At 38.0% G+C, this 21,110-nt stretch overlaps 1 protein-coding gene and 1 pseudogene across 11 annotated transcripts in view; both read right to left on the minus strand.

The window, feature by feature from the left end:
• Nucleotides 1–21,110, minus strand: part of DCUN1D1 (defective in cullin neddylation 1 domain containing 1) — a 47,845-nt gene that overhangs the window by 13,917 nt on the left and 12,818 nt on the right. For all 11 annotated transcript variants that reach the window (NM_001308101.2, NM_020640.4, XM_024453601.2 and 8 more), the window contains 3 exons: nucleotides 13,547–13,763; nucleotides 11,891–12,059; nucleotides 9,236–9,366 (listed from right to left, as the gene is read on the minus strand). In NM_001308101.2, the coding sequence (NP_001295030.1) occupies nucleotides 9,236–9,366; nucleotides 11,891–12,059; nucleotides 13,547–13,721 (475 nt within the window). In that variant the 5' untranslated portion in view covers nucleotides 13,722–13,763. The remainder of the gene's footprint in view (nucleotides 1–9,235; nucleotides 9,367–11,890; nucleotides 12,060–13,546; nucleotides 13,764–21,110) is intronic.
• On the minus strand, nucleotides 3,048–3,603 carry C9orf85P2 (C9orf85 pseudogene 2; annotated as a pseudogene).

A 21,110-nucleotide genomic window follows, 5' to 3' on the forward strand; every position in this document is an offset into this window, starting at 1 on the left:
CGTCCAAAAGAAGGGAATTTCTTATAGTCTACACTCATTGCCCGGTTTCCCCATTTCCCACACATTCTAATCCTGTTAACCAATGTCTACCTGTCATCCACTCCAATGAAATTAAACTCTGAAGGGTCATCAGACCCTCTGGTTACTAAATGAATACTCTTATGTCCTCTCTGCCTTATCTTAGAGAACTGAGCATACCTCCTGATAGAACTGTCACTTCCTTCAGCTTCAATGATAAGCACTCTACTGATTTTCCTCCATTCAATCTAGGCTTCTCACTTTCTTTTCCTGGGGCTCCTCTTCCTCCATTCGTCCATTACATGTTGGTGTTTTGTAACAACGTGTGTCAACAATAACCACTTTTCCAACCTCCCTCAGATTTTCAAACCTATATCATTTTTCATGTTATACATTCAACCGCCCCTAACAGCTCCTAAATCTGAAACCTATCTCTATATTCTAGACTCAGATATCTAACTGCCTGAAGACATCTTCCAACTTGGTATCCACGAACAACTTCAACTCAGGAGGGCTCAAACTGAACTCTATCTTACCTCTATAGACCTGCTCTTCCTTCTATGTCACCACCCACTATAGTATTTCTCAATGGAACACTTCTCATTAGCACCACCCCCATCCCCACCACCCTGCACCCCCTTCCCATGGCCAGTAGAAACCTTAGGTCATTACGACAAAAACCCCACAGGTTCCCCAGATGTCTCCTGAAAGTGTTGATAATCCCTGAGAAAGGCTCCTTCCTTCCTCATCATACACAACCAACCAAAGTACCTTTTAAATCTATCTCTTCTCCATCCCCACTGGGAAGGCTTATGTTAGGATATTCCTCATTTCTAACTAAATCACTGGGATAGCTCCATAACCAATCTCTCTTCTAGTTCAGCTTTCACTCCTTTCAAAGGACCACAGTGCTTTGAGATCGACCTTTCAGGCATGAATCTGGTGTCACTTCCATGTTAAAATTCTTCAATCATTTCCAATTACCTTTAGATAAAATTTGCACTTCTTGTCAAATGAACTCACTTGCAGTTCCTCAAAGGTGGAATGTTCTTTCACCTCTGAGCAAGTGAACATGCTAACCCCTCAACCTGAAATGGCTTCTTTTTTCCTTTGGTCTTGAAAATGTGCATTCATTCTTCAAGGCTCAAAAACTATACCCTTTTTGAAGGTACTGCAAACTACCCCAGACAGACTAAAGATGCTCTTGACTCCATGCTCTCAGTGAAAGCAGTCAAGTGTTTTTGAATAAAAAAGGAAGACTTTAACTCAAAAAGATTAATAAGTTATAACTAAGAGCTGAAATACATAAGATTAAACAAGGATAAAATGTTAATTGTCACAGGTATAGGAAAAGAAGCCCTCAGAAAGAAATTTATAAGTGATGAAGAGAGCAGCTTAGCTAGCGAGAGGTGATTTAACATAGTAGTTTACAGTATGAGTTTTAGTCTCTTAAACCCCTACTCTACCACCAGTTAAGTGACCTTGGGCAACTGGGCTGACTTCTCCTTGATTCAGTTTAAAATGAAGATAACAATAGTACCTATCCTTACCTGGTTGTTCTAAGGACTAAATGAGTTAATACATAACAAAGCATTCGTAACAGTACCTGGTAAATAACATATCAGTTCTTACTATTATCATTATTTTAAATCATTTAGAACTATTAGATTCTGAAGCAGTATTGGAAAAGACAACAAAGTCAGTGATAAGGTAACAAGAAGCAACAGCAGTTAAAATAAATGGAAGGCAAATATAGAGAAAAAGAAATAACTAAGTCCTAATAACAAGCTATTGCATAAAATTGAGATCCTTGCAGAATAAATCCTTAAGTCCTTACGGTAAAATGTAAAATGCAAACAGAGATACTCCCCATGTTATTCTTTCAAAGAGAATCAACAAGAATAATGTGGTATTTCACAACAGATGATCAGCTGAATGCAGGATGAACATGGAAATGAATTGAGACTAGACCCAATCACAGTCCCTAAAAGAAACAAAATGTTGCCAGCTCACTGGGGAGGATGGAATGGTGATTAAAAATCCTATTCACAATGTCTTTTTTAATCAATCTCAACAAATTTTATAACAATGAAAAAAGAGATATAAAATAACATATATAGTATAAGTCTGTTCATACAAAGTTCAAAACCAGTGCACATTTTCAAATGGTTCAGCAAATAAAATATGTGTGTACATCCATCTACTGAGATATAAAGAAAACGTGGTAAAATGTTAACAATTGGGAATCCAGGTGAAGAATACGCAAAAGTTCACAGAACTATTTTGCTACCTTTTCTGATTGATATTTTCAATTGATATTTTTCAAAACAAAAAGAGGAAAGTTAAAAAACCAGACAAAGCTAATTTATATCGTTTAGGAACAGAAACATGGGTAGTAAAAGAATTAAGACTATAATTATCAAAATTCAGAATAATTTCCAACTCTGGGAAGAAAGATGAGCTTTTGCTGAACGAGAGCCTTGCTGGGATCTTCTGATGCCGGCAGTTTCTTCACCTGGCTGTATAAATGCATGAACTTTTCTTTATATTTATTAAATTATCTATATAAATTCTATGCATTTTTTTCTGTGTGCACATTTCACGAGAAAAAAGGTAAAAACAATGTGATGAGGTATATAAAAATACAAATAAAAATCGCCATACACTTGTTAAACATTAGTATTTGAGAATGCTGCTTCTGCTTTTTAACATGCAAACATAAGTATGAGGCTTTTGCTATGAGTCATTTACTTGAGATCATTTACCAAAAGGCACTTACTGAGGACCAATTTTTGAGGCTAGCAATATAATAATGTCATTTTATTTTTACATGAGGTGGTTCCTTTCTTATACAACCATCAATTCTGAATCTGGTTTAGTTTGGTATTAGATAATACATCATACACAATTTATATTGTTCGTGTCTAAAATTTGTCTACTTTTCTAAAGGTTTTTCTGATTTCCTCATTAGGATTTCACAGTATCTTTTGTGAAATAGTCAGAAGTTGGTCAGAATTTCACATTCTTAAATTGACTTTTTTTTTTTTTTGAGACTGAGCCTCGCTCTTGCTGTCCAAAATGGAGTGCAATGGTGCGATCTCGGCTCACTGCAACCTCTGCCTCCAGGGTTCAAGGGATTCTCCTGCCTCAGCCTTCCGAGTAGCTAGGATTACAGGCATGCGCCACCACACCCGGCTAATTTAAACTGACTTTTAATACAGTAATATTAATTCACTTGAGGGTCTCCTCCTGTGTTTTCTAAACCAATATCAAAATCCAAATCATCATCACTTTCTTCACTTCTTCTGCAGCTTCTTCTATGGTTGGAACTTAGATTATTTTCAATATTCTCTGTTTTTCCTGGTTCTTTATTGAACAGAATAGCAATGTCTTCTTCTTCCCACATTTTGCGCAAACTTCAAGTTCATAGGCACATGGTCTACACGTTATGAGATAAGAATCCTCCACTGTCTTTTGTAAACATTTAACACATTTTTTAGGTTGGATAATGGTTTGTATTTGCTATATTTTACATGCCACTCAAGAACTTCTTTACAGCGCTGACATACTCCATCAGGAGGGTTTTTTTTTTTGAGACTGAGTCTCGCTCTGTCACCCAGGCTGGAGTGCAGTGGTGCGATCTCGGCTCACTGCAACCTCCACCTCCCAAGTTCAAGTGAACCTGCCTCAGCCTCCCGAGTAGCTGGGATTACAGGCACCCACCACCACACCTGGCTAATTTTTGTATTTTTAGTAGAAACAGGGTTTCACCATGTTGGTCAGGCTGGTCTCCAACTCCTGACCTCAGGAGATCCACCTGCCTTGGCCTCCCAAAGTGCTGGGATTACAGGCGTGAGCCACCGCGCCCAGCCGCACCATGGTTTTGTGTTACTTTTCTTGGTCTAAACATGCTTATCAAACTTTTTTTTTTTTTTTTTGAGGCAGAGTCTTGCTCTGTCGCCCAGGCTGGAGTACAGTGGCACAATCTCAGCTCACTGCAACCTCTGACTCCCGGGTTTAAGCCATTCTCCTGCCTCAGCCCCCCGGGTAGCTGGGATTACAGGCAGGCACCACCATGCCTGGCTAATTTTTTATTTTTAGTAGAGATAGAGTTTCACCATGTTGGTAAGGCCGGTCTCGAACGCCTGACCACAAGTGATCCACCCACCTCAGCCTCCAAAGTGCTAGGATTATAGGCGTGAGCCACCATGCCCAGTTGAACTTGTCATTTTTGAAGCTAAATATATTCTGGTGCTTCTGAGGCCTGGAATGAGGCACGTTGCCTTTCTGGGAGCTCATCACCAAAACCCCAATCACCCCTCACTGGGAGCAGGCAAAAGCCACAATGTCTTAATTTACTTAGAAATATCTACGGCTAACACAAAATAACAACAACAACAACAATAAAACACAGAATGTGGAGTCATAAGGCCTGAGATCTAGTCTCAGTGCCAGTCCAACCACTCTCCAGTTAGGCGACCTTATTAACAAGTCAGTCTCTCTGGCTATGAGTTTCCTCATCTATATGATGGAGAAGATAATATGCTTTTACTTAGCTCAAAGGGGTTGTTATGAGAACCAAATGGGATTATACAGATTATCGTGTTCTTTAAAACACTATACAATTGTTCCTAAATATTAAACTAAATATTTAACAAATAATGTTCAAATCATTTAAATCAATTGTAGAGGTATAAGATTCCAGCTGAACCACAACCTACAAGAAAGTGACTCATAGACTTTAGTCTAATAAAAGTTCAGTATGGCCCTAAAAATGATATGGCTGCTAAAGAACATATATAATCTTTGATCAAATTAACATAATGAATAGTCTCACAAAAATTAACAGACCCACGGTGTTCTATATTACTTAGGCTCCTTTTGAAATATGATGTTCAACTTTATGGGCTCTATTTTGAAAGAAATTGGAAATGTGTTTGGGGGGATAGTAGTGGGAATAACAAATGTCTCCTGTAAGAAGAATAGTTAAAATAATTGGAATGCTGGCCTGGAGAAAAACAACAGGTAACTGAGAGTGGATCTTTAATTTTAGCCTTTATCAGTGTTGCACTGGGGGACAAGTAAGAGCAATGATAGAAGTAATAAAGACAAAGATGTTAGCTTAATAAGGAAGAACTGTGTAATAACAAGTAAGGATATTCTGTGATAGGAATGGACAACTTCCTAAAACAATGTGTGTCCAGTCCCTGCATGTTCAAAAGGAGAAACTGAATGAGCATCAGGTAAGGATGCTACTTTGGGTAGGTTAAATTTTATAGAGGACTTATGAAATCCTTTTCAAATTTTAAGATTCAGGCAATTATCAGAAAATGGCAGGCTGGGTGTGGTGGCTCATGCCTGTAATCCCAAGACTTTGGGAGGCCAAGGCGGGGTGATCACTTGAGGCCAGGAGGTTGAGGCCAGCCTGGGCAACACGGTGAGTCCTTATCTCTACAAAAAATGTAAAAATTAGCCAGGCATGGTGGCACACGCCTGTAGTCTGGCTACTCCGGAGGCAGAGGCAGGAGGATCACTTGAGCCTAGGAGTTTGAGACTGCAGTGAGCTACGATCATGGCACTACAGTCCAACCTAGGCAAGAGAGCCAGATCCTGTATCTAAAACAAATCAAAAAAAAATGTTTAAGTCAGATTACTAAAGCAGATGGCAACAGAGGAAGCACCCTATCCTGGTATCACAAGAAGTAAGGTTATAAAAAGTGAAAAAATAACCAGGCTGGGTAATACCGCAAGTCTCCAGCTCCACAAGAAATTAAAAAATTAGCCTGGCATGGTGGTGCTTCCCTATATAGTTCCAGCTACTCGGGAGGCGGAGGCAGGAGGATCACTTGAGCCCAGGAAGTCAAGCCTGCAGTGAGCCACGATTGCACCACTGCATTCCAGCCTGGGCAACAGAGCAAGACCCTGCATCAAAAAAAAAAAAAAAAAAAAAAAACAGAAACATGGAATACACCAGTTCTCATTTTAATTAGCACAGCTATTTATAAACAAACCACAGGGTTGTCACTCACTCTCTGCCAATTTGTTTTGGGCCTTACCTCTTCTCCTATGATCTTCTAATTCCTCTCTGCCAAATCTTGTAATTTAAGAGCACTGTGAACCCTTAGAAAGGCTGTTATAAAAAACTGTTTCCTTTTTAATTAAACTCTGCAAATAAGCAAGTCATTACATTTCCTGATACCTAACACCAAAGCAAAACAAACCAAAAAAAAAAACTATGATTTGTCTCTTACTACATTTTTCTTTTTTTTAATTAATAGACTTTTTTAGTTTTAGGTTTATGAAAAGTTGAGCAGAAAGTAGAGATTTCCATATACCCTCTTCCCTAGTCAGTTCCTACTATTTTTAACATCTTGCTTTAGTGTGGTATATTTTTTATAACTGATGAATCAATATGAATATATTATTATTGACTAAGGTCCATATTCTACATTAGAGTTCATTCTTTGTATTGTACACTGTATGGCTGTGGGGGGGTCTTAAATAACATTTTCATTGTAGTTAAATACATATAACATAAAGTTTATCATCTGAATCTTTTTGAAGGGTGCAGTTCAGTGTGAAGTACATTCACATTGCTGTGCCATCGATCTTCAGAATGCTCATCTTATGAAACAAAAACTCTACATCCTTTAAATATTACATTTTTTCTTAAGCACAATACTTATTAGATAACAGAATAAACACACATAATTCTTCAACATAATGCTTTCACATAATCTGTTTCTCAATTTTTTCCTGTAATCTAAAATTCCAATTTACCATATTAATATATCCAATAGTTATAAAAATTTAATTTTGCTCAATTCTTACCACAAGTAATAAAAACTAAGATTCAGTCTCAAAACTATATATTCACCCAAAACACCATTTATTTTGTGCTCCAGTAAAGGGTAGCGATATAACTAAGAAATAGGTTATGTCCCTTTAAATCAACATTTGACATTCACATTATATTTAATCTTATCAAAATATTGTACTACACTTCTAAATATGACAAAATAATTATTTTACACATACATGTAAATTCAAAGACTTTAACAGATTATTATTTGTGGAAGGAAAGAGAAAAACAGAAAAAACATCCCAGTTAACTGGTGGCCCCAGACAGAAAAACTAATTGTAGGTATCCCGGCTTATTCTGCCTGCAAAATGAGGATTTTTCCTTTAAGAATAAAATCCTATCTATATTGAGCAATCAAGTTGGAAAGGAGGCTTTATTATTGAGAATTTCGCTTTACAAATATGTTATGAATCTTTCATCAATTCAGTCATGTTTAGTAACTCGTGGGGCCATACCACATTACAAAGGTTATACATTTATCCCTTCCTCTCTACCTTTCCGTCACTTCCTCAATCTAATCCGTTCATATAATCTGTTTCTCAATACTTTTTCCCCCCAATTTAAAAAATAAAGTGGAATTAGTGCAGAAGGCCCCTTATTAGCCTCTCCAACTACTATATCTTCAAAAACCAAAAAAAAAAAAAAAAAAAAAAAAACCTCATTTACCTTCACTGGGTAAGTTACTTAACCTTCCTGTGCCTAAATTTCCTCATCTTCAAATTAAGGATAATAAACTGCTAGCACTTTATTACTATGTATTTGGCACGGCACATAGCAGGTGGTAAATTACTGAATGAAAGGATGAATCACTCAAAAAATTGGTAAACATTAAATGAGGCAGTGCTATGGTTTGGATATAGTTGGTTTGTTCCACCAAAACTCGTACTGAAATTTTATCCCCACTGTGGTGGAGCTGGAAGATGAGGCCTGGTGGGCAGCATTTAACTCATGGGGGTGGATCCCTCATGAATGGCTTGGTGCTATTCTCCTTTTGCAACAGTGAGTTCTTGCCAGAGGGAATGGATTAGTTCCTGGAGTGTGTTATTATAAAGCGAGGCTTCCCCTCCTGTTTGGTCTCTCTCCTCACAGGAGTCCACTTCCCCTTTGACCTTGTCTGCCACGTGATGATGCAGCATAAAAGCCCTCTGCAGAAGCCAGGGCCATGCCCCACTCCTAGCCTGCAGAATCATGAGCTAAACAAACCTCTTTGTAAGTTACCCAGTCTCAGGTATTCTGTTATAGCAACACAAAATGGACTTACATACAAGACAAGTAGTATATGTAAAGTACAGTACTTAGCACAGTGCCAGACATACTAAAAGCTCACATTAAATGGAAGTTATCACCATCATCAAAATCTTCATTGGGTCCCCATTTCCCACAAATTCCAATTTAAACCTTTCTGTCTCCAAAAAAAAAAATAAAAACAAAATCCTTTCTGATTTCAAAAGAAGCCTGTGGTTATTCAGCTTTCTTGTGTCTCACCAATTTCATCTCCAAACAAGCATTCTCATTAAAATCAAACCAACAACTTCTCTCCTGCACAAAGCCAAGCTTATTGCTGAAATTTTAGACCTTCATTCATAACTATCTTCTCACTGGAACATCTTTTATCTTCCCTCGTTCAGCCAAATACCAAATCCTTTAGTTCATATCCCACCTTGTCCAGGAAGCATTTCCCAACCACTCCTGCTTTTACTCATTTCTCCCTCTAAAACCCTTACATACTTTTATTATTTTGTAATTACCTACTAGCACTATCTAATCTTTTTAGGTAATTTGCAAATTACACTGTATCTTTTACTCTCATATCCCCTTAACTATCCCAAAAGCAAATGTACAAATACAAATGGATTGATCTAAACTTTTACAGTGGTTATTTCTGGATAATAAGACTATGAATGATAAGCACTTCATTTTTCATCCTTATAGTTTTCAAATAAATCATAACAAAAAAGAATAAATTTATCTGGCATTCTATGACTCAGAAATCTTATAGTGCTATTTCTATAGATCCTAAGATCCTAAAATATCTTCAGGGTCATGAATGAAAAAATGAATGAATGGATGAATGCATAAATAAATAACTGTCAGTGGAATTTTAACAACTATCTTCTATATTGACTGTAGTTTTCATAAAGCAAAAGTCAGTGGTTCACATATAGTACCCAGGGTAAACTTACTCAATGTGCATGGTATTTTCTGATTAAAAATTTCCTGTTTCTAATTACTTTTCAATAACTGGTATTTTCATGACTTTATGCTCAAAACACATAACTTTCTATTACAAAAACGACACTGTCAATGTATTTGAATATATCTGAAACACCAAATATAATTTTTAAAAATTCTTACCTAATCCTTTTTGTCCTGGATTCTTTGCAAAATTAAAAGTAAACTGGTAAAAATCCTTAAATCGTCCTGGTTCTTTCAATTCTTGTTCCATCTTGGGTATCTGGGCCTTTAGTTTTTCTATGCTGTCACATCTGCGTCGTAAAATTAAGTTTATAAAAGATTAACTGTTTCACTATAAATTAATAACTTACTTATTCCCATGAGGGCTTACATTTATTTCCTAGAACTACTTTTTTAAAAATCAAATAGTTCGAATTCAGTCTTTTTATATTACATAAATATAAACACGCATGGGGGTTAGCTGCGGGAAGAAGAGGTCTAGAGTGATTAAATGTTCTAAATAATTACTTTTAAAAGAAACAGGCTATTCGTTTTAATTACATAATTCACTAGACTATCAACACTTTCACTAGTAGAAGTCAGCTTCAGTGGATAAATAAGAATGTATAGTAATCAGCATAACAATCATTTTAAACTGTATTAGACACTACTGACACAGTAATTAATCGCGTCTACTATCTAAATTAACTAAAAGTATGGTCTCTTGCTTATGAGGAAACATTCCTTCTGAAAACTTGCTTCTTGTTATATACACAGTACAGGAGTAAACAGGTGAACCTCCTACCACCTCCAACTGAATCATCTCAAATTAATATTAAGCTTTTTCTGTATGTGCAAAACATTCAACTTTCGAAGAGTTTGAAAAGCTCTAAGTACCAAGCCTTACTTTCCTCATAGAGCCTTATGGTAGAAATACCCTATTTCTTATAGATTCCACAAACAAATCAATTCAATTTTTTTCCTTCTAATCGTTTTTTGCTTTCATTTTCCTTCTACATTCTTTGTAACACCTTCCAGATCATTAGTTTGTAAATTAAAATTTTGATTTGAAAGTTCATTACATATTACATGAATTCAGTTTCAAATGTTTAAAAACATTGCTTCCTTAAGTTCTGATGAAACCTGTCCTAGCACAGAAAATCCCAGCAAGTTCAGGATGGGCCTGGCTTTGGCTGAAGGACATAGTGTCCAGGCCAGTTAATTTACTGCCTCTCAGCTTTAAACCTATCCTTCTTTGCCCTACTTTGTGATATTGGACTGCAAACTGTGAGACTTCATTTTTCTTGCCAGCTGGCTCTGTGTTAGGTTCTACCAAGAGCCAATGAAAGGCTGGAAGAGGAAGAAGGAACTTTTCTTATCCCAGTTTGTTTTCACCAGAGGGCAAGGGTTTTAGTGTGTGGGAAGGTCCCAGCAGTATCCACTAGTGGTAGCAATCTCACAGCCTGCAGCAAGTGGTCTCCAGGCAGTTTTTTCACCAGCATCACAGCTGGCCACACCCTCTCCCCCCAAACCCCAGATCTGAATCTCAGCCTTGTGGGGATCTCCTAAGCTTCTAAATTTCTTCCTTGTCTGTTCCCTTCCCTTACTTCCCAGAGGTGGTAGCAGCTTACTGCAACTGCTACCTGTTATGCCTTGGAGTTTCCTTTTATCCCTTTGACAGAGTAAAGCAAGTCTTTAAATTTTCTCTGTTAAAATTACAGGTGTGGTTTTTGTTTTGTTGTTGTTGTTTTTGAGATGGAGTATTGCTCTTGCTGCCCAGGCTGGAGTGCAATGGCGTGATCTCGGCTCACCACAACCTCCGCCTCCCGGGTTCAAGCGATTCTCCTGCCTCAGCCTCCCAAGTAGCTGGGATTACAGGCATGTGCCACTATGCCCAGCTAATTTTGTATTTTTTGTAGAGACGGGGTTTCTCCATGTTGGTCAAGCTGGTCTCAAACTCCCAAACTAAGGTGATCCACCCACCTCGGCCTCCCAAAGTGCTGGAACTACAGGCATGAGCCACCGCGCCTAGCCCCTGGTGTGGTTTTTGTATCTTGACTGGACGCTGACTGACTGCAATGTCACTCAGACTCGAATCATGACTCTAATACTACCTAATTCTATAATTTCTCTGTACCTCAATTTCTTCATCTCTAAAATGGGGATAGAAAACTATTCTCAAAAAGTTGCTGTGAAGAGGTAGGAGAAGTACTTAGCACAGTTAACTGAAATAAAATAATGTTCAATAAATGTTAGCTATTACTATTCAATAGTGGCCCACTAAAAAACAGAAAGGGCAGCTTGTTACCTACCAACAGACTGATTACTTCTGTCTGCAACCTCATTAAATATGGACAACTAGAGGTCACAGGTAAAACCTCTACCCATGACTTTTCAATCAATTTATCCAAAGACATTCAGCTAATCAGCTGTCAAAGTGTTAAGTGAAACAAGTAGTAACTTCTAAGGCATCTTCCAGTTTTTAAATTCTAGGATTTTATAAATGCAGGGTTCAAAGTCTCACATTAGGAAATAACTTTAAAACTTGGTCATTTCACTTTTCCATAGTAAATATTAATGCATAATTTTAATACTAATGAACCTGCCTTAGAAGTAAATGATAAGAATATAGCCAAATAGAATAGGCTGTACTAACTATATAAATAACTTGACAAACCCAAAAAACTGTATAACATGGAAACTAGCAAGTTAACCCATTTCTATTTATACCAATGTTTGTGGGCCAGCAAATCTTTAAATTTACACTAAAAAGTTCATGACATAATTCAGTTCCACAGTAACATATCTAATTTCCTATTGTAATTATATACTCACCCTAATTCTGTCATGCCATCCATGAACTCCTGTTTGGAGAACTCGCACTGTGTTGCTGCTCTGAACTTCCACGCAATAATCAACACACTAATGCTGGCTGGATCGAGTGCCAGGTCATCACAGAACTGCTGTATGCCATCTATTCCAATTTTATTCTCATCTTGAGGGTCTTTAAAAATAACAATGCAATATTAAAGTAGTGTCATATTATGCTACATTATGAAAACTGAAAAAGGTAATGCTTTATATGCCATTTTTTAAATGACCACAATATATGGAAGGCATGAAACGATATTACTCTAACATACACTTTCCCATTATTTAAAGCCATTCTCCTTACTAACAGCATTCTTAAAGTGTAGAGATATATGCAGATGAGACATGATTTTTTAAAGTCTCATTTATTCATGTGAAATATGTCCCATACTTATACACATTCAGAAAATCAGACATTCGTATATAGGGACATGGGATTCTAATTCAAGATATCCATATTTTGCTTAGGTAGGCATTCTGAACAGAAATTCTTTTTTTCTTAGAACAAAGTTCATTTTACCACAACAATTACTTCTTAAGAGTATCAGAAAAACTGTGACCTAAACTATGCAATTCAACCCTAATCTCAACAATGTAAATATCTCTTGTTTAAAGAAAAAAATCTATACTTATCAGAGAGGCAAAAATTTTAAATAACAAAAACAAAGAGAAAGAGGCACTCATAGACTGCTATCAAATATGATTTACTAACACCTTTCTTTTTTTTTTTTTTTTTTTTTTTGAGACGGAGTCTCACTCTGTCACCCAGGCTGGAGTGCAGTGGCATGATCTTAGCTCACTGTAACCTCTGCCTCCCAGGTTCAAGTGATTCTTCTGCCTCAGCCTCCTGAGTAGCGGGGACTACAGGCACACGCCACCACGCCCAGCTAATTTTTGTATTTTTAGTAGAGACAGGGTTTTACCATATTGGACAGACTGGTCTTGAACTCCTGACCTTGTGATCTGACCACCTCGGCCTCCCAAAGTGCTGGGATTACAGGTGTGAGCCACCACGCCCAGCCTTGCTAACACCTTTCTAAAAGTAATCTGGCAATATTTCCAGCAATAAAAAACATGAACATAATTTGACTTTGGAGCACAAGTTATGCATAAAATAAATATCCCATTTTCAGAAAAACTTTGAAAGAAACTCTGTAAATATATTTCTGCATAAACATAAAAGATATGGAAGGATCCACAGCACTGGTTACTCAGGAGAATGAATAAGAAAAGACAAACTATTAACCTTTTCTTATTCACCTATTATGCAGTTGAACTTTTTTAAAAGTATGCATTACTTTATAATTCTTTAAAGATTCAGTATGCAGGTTTCCTTAGACTGGTTCAGCTGAGTTTTATACATATGAGGGCAGAAAAAACAGTTCCCCATCCCCATTCTCAACTTGCACAATGGGGGAGGAAAATAAAGAGGCCAAGAAGAAATTTTAGTGAAAAGAAAATAATTTTTCCTCAGACCTCTTGAAATAACTCTAAGATCTACAGACCTCTATTGGACACATCCACCCAATTTAAGTTATATATAGTATTTCATTTCTCATAAGCCCATCTCTTTGGAAAATCTGGTCCAAAATTTACTTAAAGTCACAAGCAAGCACTCACCTTTGTATCTATTGTACAGCTGTTCTAACTTCTTCCTGTCCAATGATCCTTTTACACTCTCTCGTATATAAAGTTCAGGATTTTGGAAAAAATTATCTGTTGCAACATCTAACTTCCAGTCATTTTGAGAAAGACAACTTACTGCTGTTTTTTCACTAGATTGTGTGAAGATCATAAACTGACGAACTTTATCCTTCTGCGATGATTTCAACTTGTTCTATTGAAACCAGAAAATAAACTGAAACTCTATGTAAAATCACATAAGACTAAATATTTCTATATGGCTAACTAAACATTCTTAGTAATACTTTTTCCTCACAAAACATTAAAACATTTTAGCTTAAGATTTATTTTTGATCTATTATTCATCAGAAAGGCTAACTTTTAAAAAATATGAAACAGAAAATATGGTACAGTTTTGGAAGAGAAATAGGACAGAAGCGAAGGAAGCTCAACCACCCAGCGTTTCTCCTACAGTGGGTCCTGAGAGCATACAGAAAGGCTGCAGAAGGGAAGCCGCGCTACCCTCCAAACCCCGACCAAGCACAGTGCTCTGAGATGGATGCACAAGCAGACACGGGGAAGAAGGTGACATGATCAGACGCAGGGAAGAAGATGACATGATCTGCCCAGTCAGCAAATGCCCCTGGGGAACCATGAGATTAACAGGTGTTTACTGCAGTCCTAATACCCACTATAAAGGATATGGCGTGGGAAGAGGGGGGATCCTCCCTCCCCAACACCACCTACCTTGTTTTCTTGCTGTTTTTACCAAATAGGAGAAAGCAATAAAATAGGAGTATTCGACATTTCTCCTAGTTGTATCCAGGAACCAAGAAAATTATCAACAAAATTTCCTCATATCCTATCAAAATAATTTTTTTTTCTTTTTCCCCTGAAAGAATCACTTCATTCCCTTAGCCAGAGCCTAGCAGAGACCCTTGGTCTCTCCAAACAGCCCTTCTACTTCTTCTCAGAGAGGGGAAGAGGTGAAGAGATAATCACCTCTTCTCACTTGCTGCACATTGTCAAGGATTCATTTCTCATCTGACCTAAACCCACAGGAAAAGAAGGCAGGATACTCTCTCCCAGTATCAAAGACCATGTTCTCCCTTCCCTCTCACCCAAGCCGGCCTCCTAGCAACTGCAGCCTCACCACTGTTACTCTTCCTCCTCCCAAGCTCCAATACCATCTTCTAGCAAAATACTTGGGTTCTTCCTAAGCTACTATTGTAAATGAAGAGGGAAAACTTGAGGTACTCATGAATAGACACAATATTCTGTGGTTGGCTGGGCACAGTGGCTCACGCCTGTAATCCCAGCACCTTGGGAGGCCCAGGCGGGAGGATCACCTGAAGTCAGGAGTTCAAGACCAGCCTGCCCAACATGGTGAAACCCCGTCTCTACTAAAAATACAAAAATTAGCCAGGCATGGTGGCAGGTGCCTGTAATCCCAGCTACTCGGGAGGCTGAGGCAGAAGAACTGCTTGAACCCGGGAGGCAGAGGTTGCAGTGAGCCAAGATCACATCATCACACTCCAGCCTGGGGGACAAGAGCGAGGCTTCACCTCCAAACAAACAAACAAAAAAACTATATATATATATATATATATATATATATATTTTCTGTGGTTTAAGCAACACATTTGAGAGCCCCAGATTCCCTCATCTGGCCCAAACAGACAGATCGTAAACATCAACTTCCAGATTAGACAGATCAGAGAACCTTAACCAGAAGGTTAAGGCATTTGTTCAAAAAAATCACTCAGGTTGTTATTAGTAGAAATGAGACAAGAACAAAGAGGTCTCATGAATCTGAGTAATCTTTCCATAAATCATACTGCTTGCTGTACATATTTACATAGCTTTTGAGATTTTACAACATACTTCTACCGATCACAGTAAAAACAAGACTATGCAAAATCAAATATGAAAACTAGCCCTATTTCCCTTTTTCTTGCAATATGAAAAATATCTATGCTCTAGAATCTGATGTCAGCCACACTCCTCTCTTTGTAAATATGTTACTGTTAGGATTACAGATTAAAATCTCAACCTCTGTACTCCACTAAAATTAAGAAACTATAAATTCACTACTCTTCTGCTACTTCACTAGTAACTCTACAACATCTGCACATCAGATAAGTCATATCCCATTGCAAAACACATCCCTCAAGTGTCTAGGATTCTTCCCTTTTGAAAACTATCTCCTCCTTGAGATTTACTGTTCAATGACAACAAACTCACAATGAAATCAAATGCCAAGGAAGAGAACTGTCCTAATTTTGCTTAAATGAAAGTTAACAAGGAAACCATTTTGATTCCAACTTTTGTTACTGAAATTTATTTTAAAACTCAGTATACCTTTCTCCCTTGAGTGACAGAGTACCCTAACATGTTTTAATCCTCCTCTGAGGAACAAAGTAAAGTACCAAAGGATCACTGTGACTGTCAGTGACCACTGCACAATGGTGCAGGAAGTGTTGGAGATTAACCTGCAAGTACACCAACCACAGACCATATCCTGGAAATTACGTAGGTTTTTTTGTTTTTTTAGAGACAGGGTCTCGCTATGTTGCCCAGGCTGGTCTCAAACGCCCGGGCTCAAGCAATCTACCTGCCTCAGCCTCCCAAAGTGCTGGGACTACAGGAGTGAGCCACTGTGCCTGGCCTGGAAATTACTTTTTAATTAAACCTGATATAACATATTGGCATAACTTTTCCCCCATCCTCCTAAAAGTTGGAAGTGGCAAAACAATCAGATTTGTCTGGGGTTTTATCATATAGTTTTAAATCCAGTGCTCTGTTCCCTGCAGGGTCAATCACCTTTGTTGAAGGGAGGAAGGAAAAATCATAGCTTAAGTCATTTCTACAAGCCAAAAAGAACTATTCATTCTACTATACTATTCCTATCAAAAAGTAAGATAATAGAAGACCAGGGAAACAAAGATAAAAAACTGTCTTACCCACACCAACTAAAAACAAAATTATACAAATGAATTAATTCCATGTCATATCTTATTTGAAAAATGTTTATGTAATAAATGATATATATATATAAATGTAAACTTTTTTTTTTTTTGAGACGGAGTCTCGCTCTGTTGCCAGGCAGAAATGCAGTGGCACCATCTCAGCTCACTGCAACCTCCATCTCCCAGGCTCAAGCGATTCTCCTGCCTCAGCCTCCCGAGTAGCTGGGATTACAGGCACGCACTGCTGCGCCCAGCTGATTTTTGTATTTTTAGTAGAGATGGGGTTTTGCCATGTTGCCTAGGCTGGTCTTGAACTCCTGACCTCAGGTGATCCAACCGCCTCAGCCTCCCAAAGTTCTGGGATTACAGGCATGAGCCACCGCGCCAGGCCAAATGTAAACTATTTTAACTGGTTTGGTATAAATTTCCACTATATAGGGCAATATCAACATATTTGAAGAAACAGGGTGTACCTACCCACTTCCAACACCATAAAGGCTACTGAGTTCTACCAGGCCAAGAACTGACAGTACGGACTCCAGCTAAGCCAAGTGATATTGACAATCCCATTCCTATAAAGTCTGATAAGTACCCTCCACTTCTTACACTTACAATGCACTCTTACCACTTCTCTGTCAGCTCTCTGTTCCTAGAATACATTGTAACATTTGATTCCCTACTAAGGGAATTCAATTCTGTAGTCTCAAAGGCTATCCTAGAATAAAGCTGGAGTATACCTGACCAATTTAGGGGAGCTGTAACACTCCCATCCCCTTTTCCTAAGCCACAAAGGTGTACCAGGCAGTGTTCTGATTTTGACAGTATGGCACTAAAGATTTAAATTTTTATCAACACAAGGAAGAGAAAAAGGTGACTAACCAGAGAAGAATGATTTTATAGGGGATGAGAGGGTGGATAGAAAATTGAGGTGGAAGAAAAAACAGATGGATTTTTTCTCTGTTTCTACTACAAACCCAGTGGGGAACTTCCCAAGAGCAAAACCATGTGACAGCTACAATGATTCAGCACTCAAATGTAATATATGCCATTTATTTAAATACTTATTTAAAGGGAATAAACTAGAGTAATAATTAAATAAGATCAGGCAATATAATCTTCAGTATTCCAATGTTAAAACTACCTAGGTATTATCAAGTTTTCAAAGAAATGCAATAGTTGTAAGGCTGTAAAATGCATAAAACAGAATATATTTTGCTTTTTAACCCCAGCAAAAAAAGCAGGGGGGAGGAGAAATGCTATCTCTTGTAACAGAAAGCTAATTACAACGGTATCAAAGATTACCAAAATTAGAAATACTGTCATAATCTGAACAGTAAAATGAATTTATTTGTTCATCTTTCCAAAATATAACATGCCAAGTTATCAACACATATTGTTTTATTCTTAAATCTAGCATATTTGCATTATTTTTTTCACTCAAGAAATTCAAGAATTAAGAGAATCAGCCAGGTGCAGTAACTCACGCCTGTAATCCAGCACTTTGGGAGGCGGAGGCAGTGGGACTATTTGAGGCCAGGAGTTCAAGACTAGTCTGGCCTGGGTAACACAATGAGACTGTCGCTACAAAAATTTTTTTTAATTAGCTGGTTGTTGTAGCGCACACCTATAGTCCTAGCTACATGGGAGGCTGAGGTGGGAAGATGAGGATCACTTGAGCCCAAGAGTTCAAGGCTGCAGTGAGCTATGATAGCGCCGCTGCACTACAGCCTGGGTGACAGAGCGAAATCTTAACCCCCCAAAAAAAAGAAAAGAAAAGAAATTTAAGAATCACATTTTAAATAATAGTTTATCTGAAGAAAAAATAATAAAGTTTAAAAAGCCTTCCCATTAAAAGTATTTCCCCAAGGAAAAATAAACATGGAAAATGACTTTCTAGTCAACTAAGTCCTAACAATTGCAAAATAGAAGTAATTTTAATAAGTGATTTTTTAACAGCAAAAAAATAAGATCCATTTTATTATTTCCATTATCTTGAATTTTCACCTTCTCATCCTTAAGTTTATATTTCAGCCTGAACTTCAGAAACAGACACTTAGGCCTTTATATTTTTAAAGGAATTAATTTTCTAACTCAATTCTTGTTATCTCAGGATTTGATGAATCTAGCTCACAAAAGTCAATGCTTTCAAAATCAAAACACTTTTACGATCACCTATAATTCTCACTAAAAGCTCTGTATGTTGTTATGTAATTATCATATTGACAGTTTAACTTCATCTGAAATTTAGAAGAGCTAGTTTTAACTTTAGAAGATCATACTTTCCATACATAATACACGGTATTCAGCAGACATAGCAAAACGTTACCAATATCCAAAATCACTCACTCACAAAAGGCCCTCCAATAGACTACAGGTCCGAAGTCAAAAGTGCAGGAAAAATCAATTCAGCCAATGAGCCTACCTACAACTCCCAGAGCAGACTTTCACCTAGAAACAAAGTTCTACTCCAGGAAAGTCAGAATAGGAATCTAGGTAGGAGTAGCTCTATCTCTTTCCTTCTACCTGTACAGAGGCAATATAATATGATTCACTAGTGAAGAGTGCAGACTTTCAAACCAGACTGTCAAGATTTTAACTCTACTGGTGCCACTTAATGGCTGTATGACTTTGGGAAAATTAATCTTTCTGTGCTTCAATTTCTTCATCTGTAAACAGAGTGTTGAGGTTACACGAATCAATTCAGGTTAAACTCTTAGAACTGTAACTAGCACATGGTAAGGACTCCACAGAAGTCCACAGAGGAAGAAAGATGGACAGGTGTGGTGGGCTCATGGCTTGTACTCCCAGCACTTTGGGAGGCCAAGGCAAGAGGAACACTTGAGCTCAGGAGTTCAAGACCAGCCTGGGCAGCACAGGAAGACCTCATCTGTATTAAAATTAGCAACAACAAAAAAGTAGCCGGGCATGGTGGTGCATTCCTGGAGTCCTAGCTACTTGGGAGGCTGCGGTGGGAGGATCACTTGAGCCCGGGAGATAGAGGCTGCAGTGAGCTATGATGGCACCACTGCACTCCAGCCTGGACAAGAGAAGGCATGCGACCCTATCTTAAAAAAAAAAACAAAAAAAAAACTCCAGAAAAAAAAATTTAAATGGTAAACAACAGCTATAATAAAACTAGCAACTAACATTTGAGCTTCTACTGTGTGCCAGGCACTGTGCTAGGTACTTATTAATCCTGCAAGATGGTTCCATTTTACCAATGAGGAACCAAACTTTCAGCATCATTTATTTACTTATTCAAAAAGTAGCAGAGCCAGAATGAAACCCTGGTGCCTGGTTTCAAGGCATGCAGTCTCGCCATTTACTACATACTGTCTTCAAGTGAAAAGAAAAACAAAAAGGGCAAAAGTGCAACCACTGACTGTTGAAGGGAGGAAAACTGTGAGCAATATTTCTTCACCTATTTTAATGGAAAAGTAGTCAAATGTGAACGATTTGCATTCCAACTAAAAATTCCCCATTAAGCATTCTCTCACAACCTAACTAAAAAGATAATTTGGGGATGGAGCTTCTATTTAGGGTTTTTTTTTTTTTTTTTTTTTTGGTTGGGGGTAAGAAGGAGAAAAGGAAGGGTATAAGTTATTTTTAAGACAAGCAATACAACAGAAAGAAAAATGTATTTATAGTCCTGTCAGTCTATTTTAAAAACAGATGGCTATAATCTATAGTTTTAAATGTACACAGGTTGAAAAAAAAAATCACAGGGCACTCTAAGTCAGGGTTCCCTTTTCCAAAGAGAAGGCTTGAAACTCAGAGAAAATACAAATACTTGTACAGGTTATGGCCAGAAAATATATGGAAATATGTACAATTTCAAATACTAAGCAAAACGAACAAAACCCTCATAGTACTCTTATAATTTGAAGTTTAAAATAATTGCTTATGGATAACGATTATTCATTCATTCTTAAATTTCCTGCACTTTGAATAACTCTTGAAATTAACTCCTTTTTAAGAGGTGCTGAGGCTGAGCAAGGCAGCTCACGCCTGTAATCCCAGCACTTTGGGAGGTCGAGGGAGGAGGACTGCTTGAGCCCAGAGTTCAAGACGAGCCTGGGCAACACAGCAAGATCTGGTGGCGCACAGCTGTAGTTCCAGCTACTTAGGAGACTGAGGCAGGAGGGTCACTTGAGTCCAGAAAGTTGAGGCTGCAATGAGCCATGATCACATCACTAACTCCAGCCTAAACAACAGTGCAACACCCAGTCTTAACAACAACAAAAAAAAGAGGCTGGGCGCAGTGGCTCACACCTGTAATCCCAGCACTCTGGGAGGCCAAGAGGGGGGCGGATCACCTGAGGTTGGGAGTCCGAGACCAGCCTGATCAACATGGAGAAACCCCATCTCGACTAAGAATACAAAATTAGCCGGGCATGGTGGCACATGCCTGTAATCCCAGCTACTCAGGAGGCTGAGGCAGGAAAATTGCTTGAACCCGGGAGGCGGAGGTTGTGGTGAGCGGAGATCACACCATTGCGCTCCAATCTGGGCAAGAAGAGCGAAACTCCGTCTCAAAAAAAAAGGGGGGGGCTCTGTATTACTTTAGTCCCCTCTTATCCACATGGGGGAGG

The sequence above is a fragment of the Homo sapiens genome, chromosome 3 (assembly GCF_000001405.40).
Source record: "Homo sapiens chromosome 3, GRCh38.p14 Primary Assembly".
Classification (NCBI taxonomy): Eukaryota; Metazoa; Chordata; class Mammalia; order Primates; family Hominidae; genus Homo; species Homo sapiens.